The sequence below is a fragment of the Homo sapiens genome, chromosome 5 (genome assembly GCF_000001405.40).
Source record: "Homo sapiens chromosome 5, GRCh38.p14 Primary Assembly".
Classification (NCBI taxonomy): Eukaryota; Metazoa; Chordata; class Mammalia; order Primates; family Hominidae; genus Homo; species Homo sapiens.
In genome coordinates this window covers 22723066-22747088 of record NC_000005.10, presented here as the reverse complement: position 1 = coordinate 22747088, position 24023 = coordinate 22723066, and the positions used below count along the sequence as shown (strand labels likewise).

General features: G+C 32.8%; 1 protein-coding gene across 5 annotated transcripts in view, besides 1 other annotated feature; it reads left to right on the top strand.

The window, feature by feature from the left end:
- Nucleotides 1–24023, top strand: part of CDH12 (cadherin 12) — a 1102672-nt gene that overhangs the window by 106256 nt on the left and 972393 nt on the right. The gene's annotated exons all lie outside the window — the stretch shown is intronic.
- Nucleotides 2612–2787: a silencer, noted in NCBI's record as "fragment chr5:22744411-22744586 (GRCh37/hg19 assembly coordinates)". NCBI's record gives its function as "represses an EF-1alpha promoter that drives an FKBP-Casp9 reporter gene in an ReSE screen in K562 erythroleukemia cells {active_cell/tissue: K562}" and the evidence as "EXISTENCE:reporter gene assay evidence [ECO:0000049][PMID:32094911]".

The following is a 24023-nucleotide window of genomic DNA, read 5'->3' as shown; positions in this document are numbered from 1 at the left end:
AGATCTAGAAGCACTGAGGAAATGAACTAGGACATCAAAATGAAAGTAGATGTTGGAAGACAGAGGAGAAATTCAAGTTGCCTAATGCCTCATTATACTTTTACCATTCTCAATTTTTAAAGTTTTTATCTTGGATTAAGTTTCTAACAATGACACTGTGTACAGCTGTGTTTAGGAAGCTGCTACTATCTGTGTCTACCACATAATGATTATATACTTTTGTCTTTTCCAGTCATAGTTTGAGGTGTAAAAATTCTGATGTAAACATCTGAAGCTAAATATTCTTCTTTAAGCTTACCATGGAATTTTCCAAATGCATTTTGCAAGCTGATTTAATATGTTACTGTGCTGGCTTTACAGATGTACAATAAAAATAATTTAATACATTGCAGTGACAAATACTGAAAATTAAGAATGGTCAAATGTAATACTTATGGCTGTTATATTTCAAAATCATTTACATGTGGTTTTAAATATATTGCATTTATCCTAAACGTACTGTCAGAAATACATATATTTGCATGCATGCCTGTAATGTCTAACTCTTTCTTGGTGTTGATTTTCATTTTCCAAACACAAACAATCACAATAAAGACCCTACTTTGGCTAAGTTTATACCATGTCCATATTTACAGCTTTTTAAACAGATCTCTGATAAACCAGATAGAAACATAATAAAACAGTGATATTTGCTCTTCCTTCTGTCACTTTTTGGCACTACTCATTAGTAGAAAGAGAAGGTGAGAAGGTGACCTTCTTTTTTTAAAATTGTTGTTATTGTTGTGGGATTTGGGGGATTGATAATTGGAAACCTCCAAACAGCCTCCAAAGACCAATTAACAAAGGATGATGTGTAAAGTGCCAGCCTGTGTTTCAATTAAATGCCTACTTTAGGTGGTACTCAGCAGAGATACAACTTCTATATATACCAATTGTCTTCTTGCTATGCCCATACTAATAATACTTTGGAGAAATTAATTACCAAATATTAAAATATTTTTTTCAATTGACAGATGAACCAATTATTATATTTCATACATGGACCTATTATTATATCTCACATAGGGTAAATATTTTTGACCTTTTAAATTGCTCTGTCATTATAAGAATACAGGTTAGTTGTAGAATGACAAATAACCACTGCATTATATTTTATTTTATTTTTTAATGTTTATTTTCACTTCTGGGGTACACGTGCAGGCCTTTTACATAGATAAACATGTGTCATGGTGGTTTGCTGTACAGATTAATTTATCACCCAGGTATTAAGCCTCGTACCCATTAGTTATTTTTCCTGAATCTCTCCTTCCTCCCACCCTCCACTCTCCAAAAGGCCCCAGTGGATACGTTCCGCTCTGTGTGTCCATGTGTTCTCATCATTTAGCTCCCAATTGTGAGAGCATGTGGTATTTTATTTTGTGTTCCTCTGTTAGTTTGCTAAGGATAATGGCCTCCAGCTCCATTCATGTCTCCGCAAAGGATGTGATCTCATTCTTTTTTATGGCTGCATGGTATTCTATAGTGTATATGTGCCACATTTTCTTTATCCAGTCTATTATTGATGGGCTTTTAGGTTGACTTAGTGACTTTGCTATTGTGAATAGCGTTGCAATGAACATACACATGCATGTGTCTTCAAAATAGAATGATTTATATTCCTCTGTGTATATACCCAGTAACAGGATTGCTGGGTCAAATGGTATTGCTATCTTTAGATTATATAACTTCAATGTTCCTAAGTAAAAGATTTAGATTTGAAAACATGGCAAATCTTCCCAAGGTGATCTTTAATGCAATTTAATTAAAAAAAAATCTCAATGGAATGCTTATTTGTTAGTTTATTTGCCTAACTCTTTGATTGAAAACTTAGTACCATGATACTAATTTTAATCTATAGAAGAGCAATGGGTAGTATTTGAAGAATGACGTGATTTTCCTGACTTTATGATTTAGGGAACATTTCATAAACAAGAATGTTTCATTGTGGTATAACTATAGATAGGCCAATGAAAAGTCAATAATTCCAGCAGATCTGACAATTATAAATATTTAATATTTATAATATATAAATATATTTAGCTAGCCGAGTTAATTATTGAGTGTTAATTATATGTCAGGTTCTTTTTAAGTTTTCTACATAGATATATTAACTAACTCTCCTACCCACCCTGTTAGGAATTTACTATTATTATTCCCATTTACAGACGAGGTTGCAGAAACCAAAAGTCTCAGAGCCTTCCCAGAGTCACACAACTGGTAAGGGCACTCTATCATGATAAAGAGAACAGTTCAATTCTTGGTAAAATATCACCACATTAACAATTTTTTTAATTGATTACCAGATTATTTGAAAAAAGCAAAAGTTAAATGCTTACCTCATGATGTGTAGAGAGATAGATGATTGTTGAAGATTTAAACAAACAACAAAAATCTACAGTTGCTATCTATAAAATTGTTGGGAGACACATACCTTTTAAAGTGATACAATAACCTCATTTATTTTATTATAAAAAAGCTCTAAATGTAAATAAGGAAAAATGACTTATTTGTAAAATAAATAATGTAAAATATAAACTTTTCATTATCAATGAGATGAATTAAACAATTCACATTTACGCATTGTATGATTATACTGGAGTTTTTTTTGTTTGTTTTTTTTTGAGACGGAGTCTCACTCTGTCGCCCAGGCTGGAGTGCAGTGGCGCAATCTCAGCTCACTGCAACCTCTGCCTCCCAGGTTCATGCCATTCTCCTGCCTCAGCCTCCCGAGTAGCTGGGACTACAGGTTCCCGCCACCATGCCCGGCTAATTTTTTGTATTTTTAGTAGAGACGGGGTTTCACCATGTTAGCCAGGATGGTCTTGATCTCCTGACCTCGTGATCCGCCCGTCTCGGCCTCCCAAAGTGCTGGGATTACAGGCGTGAGCCACCGCGCCTGGCCTATACTGGAGTTTTAAAATGTTAATAAGAAGCTTGTCTTGGGTTTGATCATAGAGACCCTGTTCTATAATGCCTGTGTTAGGAGGTGTTACATGTTCTGGAATGGCAACTTGTTGTTTTACATTAAAAATATTTAAAAATATGTATACTCTTTGAACCATAAATTCTATTTCTAAGGAAGGATTATAAATGTATTTCAAACAACAAAATGCCCAACAGTAGAAACCTGACTTAATAAACTACTGAATGTGACATATCACATTAAAAAAAAAACCTTTAGGTAGCCAGAGACTGATAAGTAAGAACTTAACTGTAGTTAATGCTAAATAATGTCAGCCATTGAAGACTTCGACAGTTTTAACAGGAATGTTACATATTTTTCATGAAGTAGAGAAAAAAATTGCTATGCCAAACAAAGATTTTTAAAAATGTCTTTCTGTCTTTAATAAGTTAATATGCATTTAATATATAAGTCATAAAAGTTAATATTTTAACATGTGTAACTCCTGGGAACTATAAGTAAAATGATCAGTAAAACATTTCATGTATAATGACCTTTAGTAATTTGTCTTCCAAAAATATTCACCTGTACAGACAGTCTTACAAATGAGAATGCTAAAAATCTGGATGACTACATCCTGAAAGGAATAGCTTTTTGTCTCTCACAGAAGATAAACACATTTGACCATTTCCATGTCATCATTTTTCTTCCAATTTATAGTGTCAATACTGCTTCCCCCAGCCAGGAGCATTCTCCCCTAAGATTTTATGCTTAATAGCATGCATTCATCAGAGTTCTCCAGAGAAATGAATCCAATAAGATGTGCATATATACATATACATATATATACATATACATATATATACATATATATATATATATATATAATCTCCATGCTATTATGGATGCTGAGAAGTCCCAAGATTTGCAGTATGAGTGAGCAAGCTGGAGAGCTGGAGACCAGGAGAGTTGAGGAACTCAGAGTTCCTCTGAGTCTGAAGGCCTCAGAACCAGGAGAACTCACGTAAGTTTCAGTCTGAAGACTGACAAGCTGAAGTACTGGAAAGAGCTAATATTTTGGTTTGATACAGTTGAGCAGGAGGAAATGTCTCTTGCTTTGAGGGAGGGTTAGCCTTTTGGTTCTATTCAGGCTTTCAACTGATTGAATGAGGCCTAACCACATTAGAAATGACAATCTGCTCACCCAGTCTTTCCATTTAAATGTTAATCTCATCCAAAACACTTTCACGGAAATACATGGATTAATGTTTGACCAACTATCTAGGCACCCTGTGGCCCAGTCAAGTTGACACATAAAATTAACCACCACATAGTGGAATGCAAATATACCTGTGTATATGAATATATATATGTGTTTATATCTATTTGAAATTAATATATAACATAGTAAAATAATATAATATATATAATATATAAATGTACTTGTTCAATTGTGCAATAGATCCTAAATATATGTATTGATATTTATTGATATATGTCTGTTAATTAATTCAGGCAGCATATTATGATTAGTTGATTCTGAATGTCAAAGGTAGAAAATGGAGACCTCCTGGTGGAGAAAGTTTTGTAGATTGTCTGATTTGGCTATCCTAGGCAGATACATAGCAGAGTAACCCATTTTTCGTCTACTATTTTTTGAAGGTATTTCCACAGGCTTTCTAAAGATTAGGTCCAGTCTGATTCTTCACCAGCTTTCTTTTTAGAGCAAGCCATGTGGTCTTATTTCGCTTTTTTGTCTTATTGCTATTCTCCCTTGGTTTTCTTGTTCCTTAAGACAGAGGGCAGCTCATACTCAGACTCCTCTGGTCCTCAGGATCTTGATTGCAGTGACAATAAACCCCTTGTTCTTGTTTTTCTTCTTGGAAGGTCTTTTCTTTTCTTTTCTTTCCTTTCTCTCTTTCTTTCTCTCTCTCTTCCTTTCTTTCTTTCTTTCTTCTTTTTTTTTGAAATGGAGTCTTGCTCTGTCACCCAGGCTGGAGTACAGTGGCACAATCTCAGCTCACTGCAACCTCCACTTCCCACGTTCAAGTGATTCTCCTGCCTCAGCCTCCCTGAGTAGCTGGGACTACAGGCACCTGCCATCATGCCCAGCTACCTTTTGTATTTTTAGTAGAGACAGGGTTTCACCATATTGACCACGCTGGTCTCGAACTCCTGACCTCAGGTGATCCACCTGTCTCTGCCTCCCAAAGTGCTGGGATTACAGGCATGAGCCACTGCCCCTCGTCTGTTGTTCTTAAGCTTTCTAAAGCATTTTGTTCATCATAAGAAATTCTCTGTATGGAGGTCTTTATGATTCAATCCACAGTATCTATTCCAACCCAAATGGTGGTAAACCCTTGCACTTGTTAGAGATTAGTGTATCACTGAGTTTCTGATCCAATGCTTGACCATGTAGTATAGAAGGAAGAATGCTGAGAGAGCTTTTAGAAAATTGTCATTGCTCCTAAGGAGACACATACAGATGTGAATATTACTCTTCCATCTGCTGGATCCATCTTACAATACTGAGGGAGGCTAACTTAAAAAGCAAAGACTTTTCACATTTTGCATGAGATGATGGAGGCTGAAAGGCAACCTCCAATCTTGGAGCCCACCCTACCTCTAGACATACTTCAGAATTAAAAACAACAACAACAACAACAAAACTTACCATTTAAACCAGTTTGGTTTGAAATATTCTGAGGTTTCCTACCAAAAGCATCCTAACGGATATAATGCTAATAATAAAAATAGCAAATATGGGAAATAGCATACTTGTTTCATTAAAACTTAACCTCAAATCTCTAGAAACATGCATGTTAAAATTAATAAATGTAAAAGCAAAGAATCTACAATGTTCATCACAGATTTTCAAACAGAAGATTTTCTCAAAGACAATCCCTGGACCTGATTTTGTGGGTATGTTTCATGAAAACTGCTCCTCTTCATTGAAAGTCATCTAAAAATTTTCCTTCAAGTAGACTTACCTTTAGAGAGGATGATTCAGTCCAAGCAAAACAATGGTTAATTTTCAGAAATAACCTTTTGTAATAAATATCTCCTGAGTTACACTAGATATCAGTGTGAATCATTTTCTAAATTCTCTTCTACTTTGGTGTCACACTGTGCGATATTTTCAAATTAGAATAGAGAAGGCACTTGAAATCCCCTATTGTTTCTAAAAAATACTATTCTTATATTTTGGTTTTGTTAATAGGGATGTTTAACAATATCTCAATGTTCATTTAATGCATTACTTTTCAAGACATATTGCCTTTCTCACAAGAATTTGCAAGTTTATCATTTAAGTTTTTATTCAGTTCTATAGGTAATCTTAGCTCATGGAATGGTAGTATACAAGTATTCTTGGAATCACAAAATTGTTCATTTAAGCCTTTCCCCAACACAAGTTCAGGGAGATTAAGTTTTAAAACATCTATGGAAGGAATCAATAACAGATTCCAAAATGTACATGATTCTGTTTTTTTATGTCTTTTCCTCATTTAGAATAAGTTGTAAATATATCAGTCCTAAAAATACTCATAATAATTTATTTTATATTTACAATGAAGATGCTAATAAGTTGTCTTGAAACACACATTTTAAACATCAAATATTTAAAAGTGACTTTTAACAATCATTACCGTAGATATAGTGGGAATCATAAGCAGTAGCCTTTTAACTCACCCTAAGACAATTAGAGTTGAACTTTTTTTTTTTTACCTAATGAATCTATAACTGGAGAAGATATGTTTAGCATAAATACATGATCATGTGTCTATAAAAGAACAATTTCTCGATCATGTAGGAAAAGTGGTTAATGCTGAACAAATTAGTAAAGTAATTCAAGCAAAGAAAATCCCCTATAAAGAGAGCTAGTAAGATCCACGTTATGTAAAGTAAATGGTATAAAACTAAGGAATCAGGAGCTTCTTTTCCTGTTAAATACAGTGTTCAATTTCCAAATACGTAAGACTACACTGCAATGTAAGGAGTGTTCATACCAACAAGGAAACTTTTTCTCTTACAAGAAACTGAAAATAATATTAAATTCAATTATGTAAGAACTTATTCCTGTTTGCCCCAAATCAAATTATGTAACATTCTAATTTAGAAATCACAAGTTTCATTTGAATTTGACATCTTGTAATACATTAGTCCTTGAGCAAGAGGTTTAATTTAATGTCATTTATTCTGCCTTACATCAAGCAAGGTATAGTAACATAATGTACCCCATTTTATATACCTGGAAGCTAATGGTTTAAGGAAATTACTTAAGGTCACAAAGCAAGTAAGTGTTGGAATCAGGTTTAGATTCTAAGGGTACATGACTCCATTGTACTAGTTCACACTAATGTTAAATACTTCATAACAGAGGGTTGAAAAGCAGCTGAAAGAAGGATGTGGGTTGCCAGGGGCTGGGAGGAAATGGAGGGGTGATGGTTAAATGGTACAAAGTTTCAGTTATGCATAATAAATAACTTCCGGAGATTTGTTCTACAGCATAGTACCTATAGCCAATGATACTGCAGGTTTATACTTAAAATTTTGTAAGACGATAGGTCTTATGTTAAGTGTTCTTACAAAACAACAATAAGGTAGACTACTGTACAGAAATCTTGTGCTTATTTTGTTTCTGTTTTCACTGTTTAGAAATACTGGGAATATTTTAGTCTTCTCCTAAAATATTTACTTATAAGATGATAAAATAGGTTCTTAAATGTAACATTTGTCCAGAGGGGGAGAAAAGTGGACAACATTCATTGACATATATTTTACGTAGTATTGTGAGTGTCAGAGTTTTTTCTTTAATGTAAGTAAAAAAAAGTAAAATTTTTAAATTCAAAAATGTTGTATATATGTTTATTTCACTATATACAAAATTAGATAGGCCCTAATACATTCATTTTCATGATTTCTTTCCTTTTTACACATTGAATGTATGTCTTTTATGAAAGTGATTTAAAAATACAATTACACATGAAAATTCTCATTGAAACCAAATTAACATGATAACTACCTTGAATTTTCTTTCTTTAGTGACATTTGAGCTTTAGTTTTAATCGTGATTTTCTTTATTTTAAAAGACATATATGGAATAATGAAATTAATGTATAGTTTTTCATGTTAAACATAAAAAGGGCACACCAAAATTAGTTTATAAATTGGTACAGAGCTTTACCAAAATTCATTAAATATGTCAGTTGTTTAATATGAAATGTTATTATTATTCTTGTAGAGTTGAGAAAATAAATTAGAACCAGGAAGAGGTGATGCTATTATTGTATTAAAATCAAACACACAAAGCTCTGGCAGAAGTCTAATGTCAATTGGTAGCTTATTTCTTTTCCTGTGTGCCTTTGAAGTAATTAACATATTAATATAAGTCCCTATGATTGTGTAATTTCATGGTTTTATTGAAATATTTATTTTTTCCCAATATTTTAGCATATTTGTGGTAAAAGAAATATATTGTTTTTATATGAATTATGACATTTTTAAACATGTCCCCTTGAAGTTAGGTATTTTTGTATATTTTTCATAATTTGAAGGATTACCAATCTCCAAATCCCCTACAAAGCTTAACACATGAACTAATGTCTATCACAATACTGAATTTTCTCCTGTATACAAGGTAACTAGCTTGCTCTTCGTCACCATTGGGTCAGTTATTTACATGTAACAATATCAACGTAGTAGAGTCAAATCTGAGAAATGGTCATCTTGCTTATGGACAAAGCAGACATTGTCAATTTGGCTGCACTCTAGGTTTAAGATAATACCTTTTCCCTGAAATTTCCTAAAGCATGTGTCTCTGACCACAGGAAACAACAATGGATCAAAACTAGAGCAAAGCAAATATTAGTAAAATTAGACCATTACCATAGACTTTATGATTCCTAAATGATTTTTATAATGTAACGTCTGCTCCACGAGACAGCCCTGAGAGTCATGGAGATAGATTCTGCTAATAACCTTGGACAAGATCCTTGCTGTGGCCCCTCTGTAGCATTCTCCAGCTCTAAACAGTTTCCAGCTACTCAAGGTTTTATATTATCAACTCTGACTGGGCTCTCACTTGGCCTCACCCAATGTACCATGTCCTTGCTGTACAATTTTCAGACCCTCCAGGAACTGTGCCACTTCTTCCCAGATAATCATAACTAACGAAATTTACACCCCTTACCCCACTCTCAAAAGTGTCTCATTTTATGAAGAACTGGACAAAGGCTTTCCAATAACTTTACACTGAATATGGAGAGAGAAAATTACATTGTTGCTTGACATTTGTATAATTATGAATTGCTAAATGAATCCATGTATTCTGCACTATTCGATCAATAATTTTCATTAAAATATACAAAGAATATGTCTGTTTCCCACCAAAAGTTCTAGGCAAATTTAATATTTTGAACAGTTATTACATTTTGACCATTTCACATCATATTTGTTAAATACTTAGGCTTAAAATGTCATAAGTTTGTCGATTCTGTCTTAGATGTTTTTTAAGGTAGAGATGCAGCTCCTTTTAAGTCACTGAAGCTCACTCTCATTTATATTATATTTTTTGTTAGTAATTTCTATTTCTATTTCTTTCAGCTAAGTCTTATTAACTATTTTTCTCACGTTATAATTTTTATTACGCAAATACGTGCTCGTTTGGTGATTAATTACACTAATACTTTTAATCAGTTAAATCAGTAAAGAAAGCTAAAAAAAGTGTTTCTGAAATGAAACTAAATATATTATTTTGAGCTTCATATTGATGTTCTCCAAAGTAGAAGTTTTTTTGTTATTATTATTTATTTTCTAGCAAAACATCAGGTAGGGATCAGACTATGGGATTCATTTAAACATATTATTCATTTTATGATGTATCTTGAAGTGAAAATAGGGGAATCAAAAGATTCAAAGAATCATGCCTATATTCAGATTAAAGATATAGAATAATACACACAAAATTTCGTGGTACAAGAAGATATCTAGCACCTGCAGCTTTATTATAAACATCAGTGAAAAGCCACTGGGAAATAACAGGAAGCAGATTTAGTAAAACCTTGGGAGGATTTTAAAATATTACTATGGGATGCTTTCTCTCTATATCTTCTGAATAGAAGCAAAAGCCTAGTCTTAACTATACATTATTTCATAACGATAAAATTACTAGGAATCCACCTAAATGATTATACTCTCTGAATTAAATTTCAAATAAAGTATTGCTTCTGGTTACTATGGACTGTATTAACAGTGGCTTAAAGTTCTCAATTAAATGCACACAGACTACATTCCCATTCCAGTTGGAGCAACTCTATGGAGCTTTGAAAATATTTCTGGTGAGAAAAAGGATAATGTGAATGTAGCCAGATTATGTTGCTATGACAACTATGACTTCTGTATTTCTAGGCTTTTTGTGTGTGTGTGTGTGTGTTTAAACTTTCAGCCTTCAGGTTGTATTGCCAGTTTTTTCCTAATCTATCTGATACATATGTGAAAATGCTGACTAAACTATAACAAGGAAAAATATTCATAGCATTTTTTTTGAAAACGTATCCCTCAATTAAAATAAATTTTCAAGTAAAAAAAAACGCTGACTCTAACAGACAACATACTTTACTTCCAATAACATCACAGATGTGTGTGCATATAAAGAATGCTATTAACAGCATATATTTTTGTTAAAAATTTGAATCTTAAAAAAAGCAAAGGCAACAGCAAAACTAAATACAATTACCTTTCTTGCAAATATCTTTTGCAAATAACACAAAAAGGATTTTGCAGTATTCAGCCAATGAACTATCTCATATTACTTAAAAAAATACATATATACACATTCATCTATATACACAAATTATGTAATTATACTAAAATATCTAACTGGAGGAAGTTATGTATATCTCAATTTTAAAGTATACACTAATTAATTAATGGTTTAAAATTTGTTAATGTGAGTTAGGATGGAGGAAATAACAAATGTTTTTATTCTTGCATACAAAATGACATTTTAAATCTCTATAACGATGATTTGGACTAAAACTTTATTCTAGTTTTTAGGTAAGGAGTCTGAGCTCAAAATGTTTAAATACTTTAGGTAATTTAAGTGACATGGTCAAATAATTGTTAGATAATAGAAAATCAGAATATGAATTATATTTATGTTGGAATTATTCCAAAATAATATTTGTGTCAGAGACGTAGTCATTGATCCTGGTCTAGTGCTTCTGTTATTAATCTCTTAAAGACTATCTTATAACTTTTCGTATAGACACTTCTCCAGATTAATTTTCAATAACTCCAACAAGTATGTTGATACACCAAAGCCCAAGATGACACATGAGTAAACACTCATTTTTTGAGTAAGCACTCATTTTTCAATTAAACTAAGAGAATACAATTTTCAATCATGGATGTGTTAAAATCACTTAACTTTACCCTATTTTTTACAGGAATAGATGGATCAATTCCAATTCATTTAGAAGTTCTAACGAGATTTGTTTTCTGATATAATGTGTAAAAATAAGTTGTTTGGCATGCTAAAGTTTGTGTGTGTGCACACACATGTATAGAAAACTACTTTAGGAACTAAAACTTGAAAGATGACATTCGGGGTGGATTTATATACTTTAATTATAATATACCATGGCATAGTATATAATAGCACATTTTAGGATGTAGTATACTTTAAGCAGCACATTTTCCCTATAAATTTATATTTTATATGTAAATATAATTTTTCTCCCAAGGCTTCTTAAACATCTGTGTATATATGTGTGTGTATTTCATAAATTTTCAAGTAAGACCTTCTGAAGGGTAACCCTGTATCATTAAATGGCTAGTTTCTCATAAAAACTCACATATATTATTTGTATGTAATCAGGAAAGAAGAATGAGGCAATAAAGTAACAATACTGCTCCTATAGCCACACATTTAATGTACGGCTACACATATCACATAGGTTTGTATTATGTTGAGGTAGTTGCGATAGGTGGCAGTAACATCTTTGATAAATGAAGAAGCTGGAATTCAGAAGAGATCACATATTTCTTCAAGGTCACACAACTTATAAATTGCAGATTCAGCAATTCAGATACTGATGTAACTGACCTAAAGTCCATTTTCTGCTATAAGCTGAATTGAATCCTTAAACTGAGCATAGATGGCCAAGAAGGAATAATATTCCATAATTATAAATGAGACTGTTTTTGAAGGAACAATGTCTAATCTTTACAGAACACTTATCTGCACTCATTGTCTTATTGATAAATTTACATAAATTTCTCATGTTGGGGTCATAACAATGTTATGTTGTGGCTATCTTACTCATTTCCATTTTATATTTTAGGAAACAGGTTTACAACGGTTCTTGTGAATACTGCTACTAAGAACATTATCGTAGACCCCATCTCAAGACCGGTGCATGGGTGTCTTAGAGGGGGAAATTCAACTCATTAGTGAGAGAATCATTCTTTTTCATGGTAATGGCAGAGATTGATTCCTGCATCCTAAAGCAATGAGTTACCAGTGTTTGGAGAAGAAGTTGGGTATAAAGTATGCTGTAGAGTTTCAAAAATAAGTCTTTAAACCAGCCAGCCCTTGAACTATAGCCCTTCCCTAAATTAATGACTATAGCCATGGTTTTATTACACTTAATTAGATAATGTGAAAAATGCTATAAACATAGGAATGGGTTTATATTTAGTTTCATTTTCTTTCTCTAGATTAGGGTTTCCCAGTAGTTTCTGAAAATATATCCTTGAGGGATAGCCATAATTTTTGTAACTTTTTTGCATTTTTTTTATTATGTTGTTGCTCTAAAAATGTTGGGAATCAGATGTCAACAAATGATACTACTATCTGCTATAGCCAAATTCTGAACAATTACGGACAGAACATAGAAGGCAATCAGTTGGCGATCAATAATAGTGAATACTGTTCTTGAATACATACAATTTCTAAGCATTTAATGTGTGTTAGCACATGTCTATTGTGCAGAAGCTGGAAGAAGGAGATTATAGAATCAGATCCATTTTACATTTGAAGAAACTAAGACACAATGTATTTTAAAAACTTTCCTAAAGTCACACAGCTAGTCGACATAGGGGGCAAGATACCACACCCAGGTCTGCAGAGACTTAACTCTGGATCTGTTCAATCCTGGCTGGAGGATGGGAAACCTAGGGGGATATTGTTGACTGGCTGTCCCAACACTTCCCCAGTCTTCACAACTGTAAGTCTGGGCAGACTCTCTATTTGGTTATAGGATAGCAACTAGAATACGCCTTCTCTGCAAGCTGGCCAATCTGGAAATGAAGAAAGAAGAGGCTAAAATAAGTATGCCTCAGTTTCTTCTACCAATCTAACTAGTCGAGTAAAGTCAACCCTGTCCAGGAAGGAACCCCCCTCACTTTAATAAATAACAAGAATACCTTATAACGATATTTTTATTTCATTTGTGCTTTTGCCCAGGCTACAACATGTATTGTTCATTTCACGGACTTGGGCTTATGAGGGAAGAAGAGAGGCTGACTTTACATGGAAATTGATGCACATCAATTTAAAATTTTATATTGGCAAAAATATGACATCATGGGCGCATATAAATCAACCAACACAGTGTTCATAGATGTTAAAAGAAGAAAACTTGGTGGGAGAAATGAATCACAGTATGACACATAAAATGAATATGCTAAACTAAAAAAAAAAAAAGATTCACAAAGAAAATGACAGTTTAATTTCGATAAAAGATCACTTCATATAAATGCATATTTTTTGAATTTTGCTCCTTTTTTAACGTAGTTTTTGAAATATGCTTAGGATTATAACTGTATGTAAGCTAAATATTAAGAAAGTCATACCACATTTTATTTTTAAAAATATTTAATTAACATTGTGATGAAGCTAATTAAGTAAATCCTGGTGACAAATTATTTTTTACTTATTCAGGAGAGCTCTGTGAATAACTCAGATAGGAATAAAGTAATTTTAACCTTAATTTGAAAGTTCATTTAAGGCCAATTTGTATTTATTATTGTGTTCATTATCTGTTCTGGATTCTTCATAGGGATAACTTCAGTCATTTCTCAATGACTCTTGTTTTGGCATGATACACCTAATCACACACATTATTTCAGATGATTTGCTCATCAAATGCTTAAGTATTCATTTTATAAAAAATAAAACTAGTTTTTAAATTTTTATCAGTGTTGAAAGACTGTTCTAAAAGTGGGTATATTAGTTTTCTGGGGCTGCTGTATCAGTACCACAAACTGGGTGGCTTAGAGCAATGGACATTTATTGTCTCACAGTTCTGGGGCAGGAAGTCTGTGACCAAGGTATCAGCAGGGTTGATTCCTTTTGAGGACTGCAAAGAAGAATCTGCCCCATACTTCTCTACTAGCTTCTGGCAGTTTGCTGGCAAGCTGGCATTCCTTGGCTTATAGATGATGTACAACTTTGATCTCTGCATTTGTCTTCACTCAGCATTCTCCTTGTGTGTATCTGTATTCATTATTATTTATAGGAGGACACTGTTCACATTGGAGTGGACTAAGTCCTTCCTCTAACTTAACCACTGCATCTGCAGCAACTAACTCTATTTTCAGTGAATGGCATACTCTGGGATAGTAGGGGTTTGGAATTTTTATGTGTGTGTGTGTGTGTGTGTGTGTGTGTGTATATATATATATATACACACACATTCACATATGTATATATAGACTGAATTGTCTCCCTCTCAAATCCATATGTTGAAGTCGAAACACCTAGTAACTCAGAATGTGACAATATTTGGACACAAGGTCTTGAAAATGGTGATTAAGTTTGAATTAGGTCATTAGAGTGGACCATAAACATGTATGTTTGGTACACTTATAAGAAGTGGAGATTAGGACAAAGATATATACAGAGGGAAGACCGTGTGAAGATGCCAGGAGAAAACTGGCAGCTATAAGCCAAGAAAACAGACCTGCACAGAAACCAACTGTGCCAACCCTGCCAAATATGTTGACCTCAGACTTCTAGTCTCCAGAATTGTGAGAAAATATATTTCTGTTGCTTAAAACACCAAGTCTGTGGTGCTTTGTTATTGCAGCTGTAGCAAACAGAAGAAGACTTCAGCATACGAAGTTTGGGAGAAACAGTTCAACCCTTAGTTTCTCTCAGGGTTTCTTTTTGTTTTCCTTCATTATTGTTGCTATGTATTTAGGCAAATGTCTTGGCTTCCCTTTAATTTAGGTTATTACTAAGTTCATGTTTAAGCAATTCAACTATGCAATTTTAATTATTTAAGAGGAATTTATTTTTTAGCTAAGTCATGCCATAGTTTTGTATGAAAAACTGAAAGATGTTTAGAGAACAATTCTCTTGTTGCAAAGTGATCCAGAAGGCAAAAAGAGGTCCAACTGTGACAATTTAGAAGGACATGTAAATTCACTGTAAAGGAGGATATTCCAAGAATTAAACATTTCCAACAATATTGCCTATACTTCCATAAGTAAACTTGAAATGCTGAGAGATCAAATATTCATTAAAAAGGATATTGAAGAATGCAATTGAGATTTTGTAGAAAGTTAACTAGGTTACCTCCATTAATTCTCCAACTCAAACATTTTAGTCTTTTGTCTTATAGTAAATGAAAGATGTGTATCTACTAATTTTCACATTTTAACTTTCATTAAGTGATTGAGTTCTATATATGACTTCATATAGGAAATGAAAAGTAGGTAATTTAATATACATCAACTTTTATGAAAACGCTAATGTTTTAATGACAATAGTACACTTACTAATTTTATAATCCATAACATCCATAGTTATTTTTGGGCTTATTTCCTTTTTTACATAAACTTTTATTTCAAACACCACCTATACCTAGCTCACAATAGCTCTTAAAACACTGGTTCTTAAACTTGATTGCATATGAGAATCACTTGGGAAGTGATAACCAAATAAGTGAAACCTGAATAATAATTGGGTCTTATCTCCAAAGATTCTGATTAATTGTGGTAAAGTCAGACAGAGGATTTTAAACAATATCTTCTAAGAAGTCCAAAGTGTGGTAAAGCTTAAGGCCACAGTCTTAAAGGATGCTTTTGATGAAAATGAAGAAGAGTAAACACATCTGAACACTTGATTTAGGAGACAGCACGTCCTTATTCTTAGCAACAACATCTTTCTAATCTTTCAATTGGGTTATGTCTAATACAAAGTGTTAAATCTGATTAGCGACATAAAGGAATTTCTAATGGTTGCTATTTCTTCTGTTTTAATCTTTTATTGTGTCTATTGTAGTTTTATTTTTCTTACAGGGAATCATTTTTATGTATAAAAGGAATAAATTATGTATAATAGGAAAAAGAACTTTTAAATAACCCAAATTAAAAAAATCATTTTTCCTACAATTGATTTTTTTTCCATTGTTGGTTTCTACACATCTAAACACCAATTGTTAAAACTTGAGAGTTCCCAACTTCAATGTGAACAAAGGATTTGAACAGCTACATCTGTTCAGATCTCACAGATGGCCTTTTGTGCTGTTTTCTGAGTTCTTCATAATTATTTGTGACACTGTTCTTTGACAGAAGGTGTGAATGTACTGAAACATTATATTTTAACTTGAATTCAAACATGTTCAACAATGTTTAAGGTAAAAGCTGCAATGATATCTGCTGAATATGTAGCTCTAGGACTCAGATTACTTTTTTCTGACATTGTCTACTGCCTACTGCTGAGATATTTTTTGAAAGTATTTTTATGGACTGGAAAAACAAAACAAATATAGCTCATGAAAAACTGATCTCGGGGCAAAACAATTTGTTTTGGACATGATTGGGTCTTATCCTCTTAAATTATTTTCTAAATATCTACTCCAGAATGTCATAAAAGTCAAGACTAAAGAAGGATAAAATGAGTTAATTTCACTGATGTCATTGCTGGGTTTTTGTTGTTGTTGTCGTTGTTGTTGTTTTCATTTTATTTAAATATCTAGTTGTAACTTACTGGCAGAATTGATATCAGAAATATAAAATGAGGTCCAATATTTCAAAAGATGTATTTTCCTTAGAGATAAAAACACAGGTAAATAGCTTGCTTTCCTGTTTAATTGTAGTTTTTTGTAATATAAACACATTATACTAAAGTCTGATTAATAATAACTAACATTCTGAAAACTTACATTTACTGTAGAAGTTTTAGTGCTCTGAATAATTTTGTATATGTTCATTTAATCCTCATAATAATTCAATATGGTAGGTAATGTCACTTCAAATTAATAGATAAAGACAGAACCAGAACTAAATGAAGAACATTGCAGAGAGCCGTATAGAAGTCAGTGGAAACCTGAAACTGAATTTAGCCAATCACATAGGCTGGCATTCTTACCTGCTGTGCTGGACAAGAAGAGAAAACTACAAGACAAACTTTTAATCATAAACTAAAATTCTACTAAGAGGATTTCTACTTCCAGTAGTGACAGAATAAGTATTCAGTCTAATGCTTCAGCTGTAAACACCAAAAAACTGAAAAAATATTAAAGAGAAACAAATCCTTCCTAGATGCACTGGTGAATGTGGTAGAAGTACAGTCCCCAAGATGATTCTATGCCTTAATTCCTGGGCTGGCAAGTATGCTATCATACCCATGCATTTGTTACAGTCACAGGGACCTTCCAGATATAATTAAGATCACTAAACAGTTGGTCTTAAAATAGGGAGATCATCCTGGCTTACCCAGGTAGTGCAATGTAATAACATGAGCCCTTAAAAGCAGAAGCTGAAGAGGAATTCAGAGATTTGAAGCATGAAGAGGGATTCATCATGCCCTGGATGGCTTGAAGTTACAGGGAGCCATCGAACAGATAAGAAGGAAATAGCTTTCCTCAACAGGGAATTTGGAAAGGATCCTGAAACTGAGATGAGAACCACGCCCCTGTTGCCACCTTAATTTTGTCTTTATGAGACCCTGAGAAAAATCCTGCCATGATCTGCCTTGATTTCTGACCCACAGAAACTGTTAAAAATATATATATTGTTATTCTGAGCTGCTAAGTTTGGGATCAATTGTTGTTGCAACAGTCATAGAACATTCATTAATACAGAGGCTAACATGGTAATGAGGAACTGCTGGTCTAAAATTCTGAAGTAATCCAGCATGTGGGAATGCTTTTACCTTGGAGACATTTGCTAATCCAGAGGAGACTAGGAGGCTGTTATGGATTGCATGCTTTTGTCCCCTCAGAACTGATCTATTCAAACCCTAAGCATCAATGGTATGGTACTAGGATGTGGGGCTGTGTGTGGGTAATTAGGTCATGACGGTGGAGGGCTCAAGCTAGAATTAGTGACCTTATGAGATGAAATATGAGAGAGCTTGCTTCCTCTCTCTCTCTGCTCTCCGCCACGTGAGAACACAGCAAGAAGACAGCCATATGCAAATTAGGAGGCTGACTCCTAACAGACACTGGATTTGCCGCATCTTAGACTTCAGCATCCCAAAATATTTATCTTTCCCACAATGACAGTAATCCTGCAGTTCTCAAATAATGTATCAAAGGTTTCCCAGATGGCCAGTACCTGTGGATGCCTAGGAGAAGCAAACAGAATTTTTTTCCTTGAATAATTTAATATTATTTTAAGTCCTCAAGGTATTACTACAGAGTTTTATGAATGAAATATCCAGCACGAAATATAAATAGATAAAGCAATTGAGGAGATAAAACAACGTGAATGACTACCGGAAGAAACAAGATCACAGAAACAGACTCAGATTCTATTTATCTCCTTGTAAGTAGAATCATCATAGAATTTAAAATAACTACCTCATCTACTCAAGAGAAGTTAAATGACAAGATTAAAAATTTTGGCAGTGATTCAGAAAATCAAAAGTTACATGTCAGAATTCAAAATCTGCCACATGGAAATACTAGAACTGGGAAAAAAAATAGCTGAAATTAAGAATTCAATCAATAGCTTTTAAAGTAAATAGATAAAATGAAGAAATAATTAATGATGGGAGGAAATAAAAGGATAAAAAATTGCAAGAGATTTAATATATATTGACAGTAATATTAGAAGAGATAACATATTTAATTGAAATCTCACATTATAATAAGATAACAAATGGTGAAGTAGTTAAATTTGGAAAATTTTGACTAAAATTTATTAGAAATGGAGGCAACAACAATTTCTAAATTGAAAAAACTCAACAACTTTTCAGTGAAATAAATTCAAGGAAATTCACAGCTAAACACAGCAGTGTCAGAATGCAGATAACAAAAGTAAAATAAACGAAAACCTCCATAAGAAAAATGATACACTACACTCAAGGGAACAACTGAAAGATGACTTCAAAAAAAGAAACAATAGAAGCCAGAGACTATGGAACATCTTCAATGTGATGAAATAAACGATTAAAAAAAAAGTCAACCTAGAATTCCTTTACCTAAAATATCCTCCAAGAATAAAAGTGAAATCAAAACATTTTCAGGCAGAAGAAAAAGGAATTTATTACCATGAAGCCACACTAATAAATACTATTCTCCTAAAGGAACTCTAGAGTATATTGCAAAGATCTAGAAGTGACAAAGAGAAATGAAATGCTAAATATGCAAATCTAAACGAGTAATGACTATATAAACAACAATGTCATATATAAATAGTGAAATAGTATGTGAAGTATGGATATGATTACTAGAGGTATAATTTTCTTGTCTTTTCTAGCAAGATGAGTTACAATACCAAAAAAACCCACTAAATTGTACTTTTTAAAAGTTAATAATAAGATAGAAGGAGTAAAAAGGGTTGTCCTCCCAATCTTCTTTTAAAAATATTTAATAAGAAAAAATACAAATGCAGACTAATTAACAGTCAAATATGTAAGAAATTGATATCCTACTTAACGTTTTGTCTGATTATACTTAGTGCTGGTAGAAACATTCATGATAGACCTATTCAAGCTCCTGTTAATTGGCTTTTCTATATTGCAAGTTCCCAGTTAATTCTTAGTCACACACCCAATAAAGGTCAGAGTGAAAAATTTATGTTCATAATTCAGCTAATAAACAAATGCCTTGTACTCCTATTATATACAGATTGGACATAATATCTCCCATTAATTCATTTCATCTGATTGTAATAATTGTTTAAATAGTATCTGAAAAATGCCTTAAGGACGCTAAAGGACAGAAGTACATAATACTAGAGTAATATTACATATTTTAAGAGAATAAGAGTGTTTATAAAGTAAAACAATATATAAGTATTCTTTTGGTTTTTATTTGAATATATAATCCACTGCTCTAGCAATCACTATAGGTCCTGTTTGTATTACTTCTATAATGAAGGTCTGAGATTATTTTTTTGTCCAGGAAGAAAGCTCTCTAAGAATACTCAGGCTTTTCAAGAACAGGTTCAATTGTATTGTGATAAGCATAGAGCTATTGTAAACTCTGATATATGTTCTGTTGTAAAAACATCATGTGACACTACACACTTATAACAATGGCCAAAATATAAAACAGTAACAACAACAAATGCTGCCTGGAATGTGAAGCAATAGGAGCTCTCTTTCATTGCTGGAGGAAATACATTATGACACAGCCACTTTGGAGGAGAGTTTAGCAGTTTCTTAAAAAATGAAACATATGTTTACTATACTATCCAGCAATCACACTTCTTGGAATTTACCTAGGTAATCAATATGTCTTTCAGTAGGTGAATGAATAGATAAAAATACATCTAGACGATGAATTATTATTTAGCACTAAAAAGGAATGAGCTATCAGGCAACAAAAAGACAGGGAGGAAACTTAAAGGCATATTTCTAAGTGAAATAAGCCAATCTGAAAAGGCCATATAACATATAATTCCAACCATATGACATTCCAGAAAAGGAAAAACTATGAAGACAATCAAAGGATCAATGGTTGCTAAGGTTTAGGGGCAGGGATGAATGAATACATGGAGAACAGAGCATTTCGAAGGTAGTGGAAATACTCTGTATGATATTATCATGATGAATATGTGTCATTGTACATTTGTCATAACACATAAAATATATAACAAGAAGGGGCCTTAATATAAACTACAGATTGATAATGATGTGTCAATGTAGGTTCATCAGTTGCAACGTATGTGCCACTCTGGTGCAAAATCTTGATAGTGGGGACAGAAAACTCTGTATTCTCCCCTAAATTTTGCTGTAAAACTAAAGCTGCTTGAAAAATAATGTTCATTTAAAAATAAAAGTGGAAAAGATCATGTCGGAGTGTAAGTTATAAAACATATATTTATGTTTTACATGAGGATAAAATTCTATGGACCTCAATTTAGTTTCTGGTGTTTGTCTCATGACCTTAAAAGAATATGCATCTACTAATGTCACTTTCTTTGGAAATGTGCTGCTATAGTCTGAATGTTTTTGTCCCTAAAAAATTCATATGTTGAAACCTAATCCACAGTGTGGCAGTATTAGGAGGTAGGGCCCTTGGGATATGATTAGATCATGAGGATGGGGCCCTCAAAAGTGAGATTAGTGTCCTTATATATATAAAAAAAAATGGCTTGAAGGACCTGCCTCTTCTCGTCCACCAAAATAAATTTCTGTTGCTTATAAGATACTTAGTCTATGATATTTTGTTACAGCAGCCCAAATAGGCTAAGACACGTGTATTGTAGATTTAGCTGATTGTTATATTCAATTCATGCTGAATGACTAGATCAGAGTTAAAGAATAAAAGAGATTGAGCTAGATTAACTTCAATACTATAATAAACAGTATCAAGGTTCTCAGCACTTTCTGTTTCCCCCATAGGGGAAAAATATGGCTCATCCATTGTATATATTATCAATAGCTACTATCATAAATTTAGATTATACTTTATACATGATGAAATACGTTCACATAATATTTTATTTCATCCTTTATAAAAACACAAACCACTAAATTAAAGAGAACAGGTAGACAAGAAAACTGAAGCACAGAGAGAATTTAGGTGTGATGTCATAGAGCTAAAATTTGCCAGAATCACACTCAAATCCGGATTTTTCTCATGTTTTACTATATTCCAGTTCATAGAAATAAACATGAAAGTTGATGCATAAAGTCTATAAGAATCACCTCAAAGATAGCAAAGTCCCAACACAGTAAAATTAAGTTGATAATATTTCCTATTACTGGAAACGTGGTGTTCTGAGTGTTCTCATAGGTTCCTGATGAAAATATTATTGGTAAAACTGTTTTGGAAACTATTTTTTTAATTTATATAGAAATTTTTTAAATTAAAAGTTATTAACTTAGTAACAAGATATTTATTCCAGTATATTCACAGCCATAATGATGATAGCAAGAAAGTGGAAACAATCTAAAAATAGAGAAATTATTAGATCAGTTATAATATTTTTAAAAGATGGAACATTATGCCATCATTTAAAACAATATCTTTAACACATGCACACACATGCTTAGAGCAGCACAATTCACAATTGAAAAGATATGGAACCAACCTAAGTGCCTATAAACCAACAAATGGATAAAGAAAATGTGGTATATATACACCATGGAATACTACTCAGCCATAAAAATGAATGAAATAATGTCTTTTGCAGCAACTGAAATGGAGCTGGAGGTGATTATTCTAAGTGAAGTAACTCAGGAATGGAAAACTAAATGTCATATGGTCTCACTTATTAGTGGGAGCTAAGCTATGAGTATGCCAAGGCATAAGAATGATATAATGCACTTTGGAGACTCGGGGGAAAGGTTGGAAAAGTGATGAGGAATAAATGACTACATACTGCATACAGTGTACACTGCTCAGGTGATGAGTGCACTAAAATCTCAGAAATCAACACTAAATGACTTACCCATTAACACAAACTCACCTGTACCCCAAAAACAATTGAAATTAAAAAATTTTAAAAATTAAAAATAATATCTTTAAAAAAATTTAATGACATCAAAATACAAGTTTAGGGGAAAAAGTGAAGTAGTATGTTAATGATAGATAATTCTAAACTCTGCTTCAGTGATTATAAATTCCAACCCCAATTCCAGGGTACCTAAGTTGACAGCCCATCTTTTGCAATTGCTACCTATGTGACGCTAAGAATTTAACATAATCTTTCTGTGCCTCAGTTTGCTCAATTGTAAAACTGAGAAAACGGTATCACGTATTAATCAAGTTGTTGAGAGAATTAAGAGGACAGCAGAAGAGTTTCCATTACACAGTATGTGAAATGTTTGTGTGTTATTATAACCCTATGAGCTGAGTGTGCGATTACTATCTTCCATCTCTGTCAGATGTTGTTTCCAGAAACTGTACATCAAGAAACCATTGGAAATTAGTGACACCATCACTTATTAGTGCCAAATACATAGTTAAATATTAAGTTACCTCCTTCTCCTTCTCCACTTGTAATTATCTGAATAAATCTTTAGAAAACAGGAGGGGAAAATAAACTAGCTTTTCTTAAAATTATTGTCTCAAAATTTAGAATCAACACTAAAGGTTATGAAGGTTCTAGACTTCTAGAATGATGATTGTGCCAGGAGGTATCCCAAGCTTTAGAGCTCTGTCTAGAATAAGGGGAATGTTTTTGTGTTGTCTGTCTCTAATGCCTTCACAGCAATCTTAACTCTTAGCTCTTGACTAAACTGCTGCTTTACATTTAATATTATTATAGATATTGCTCTATCTACTATCAAGCCAAAATTTAATGTTAACACTTTTAACTCATCCTCTGTCTTCTGTTACATTGGGCACATTACAGAAATGCATAAAGACTTCTATAGTCTGGAAAATCTTATGTTATACTTTGTACTTTTCATACAAAGTAAAACGTATAAACGCTTTGTGTAAAACTGACATGGTGATGTGTATTTGAATGAGGGATGTGTGAAGAAGTGAGTTTATTTTTTCTTCCAACCCCTTTCTACCTTTTGTACCTCTGTGAATTTGTGAAATTTTCTAAAATGAGCATGCCTTGCATTTGTAAGAAGAAAAGGACTATAAAATGAAAGCCTTATAACCCTTTTAAAGAAAAGAATTAGCAATTACATTTTTTACAGTAGCATTATATTTTCTGA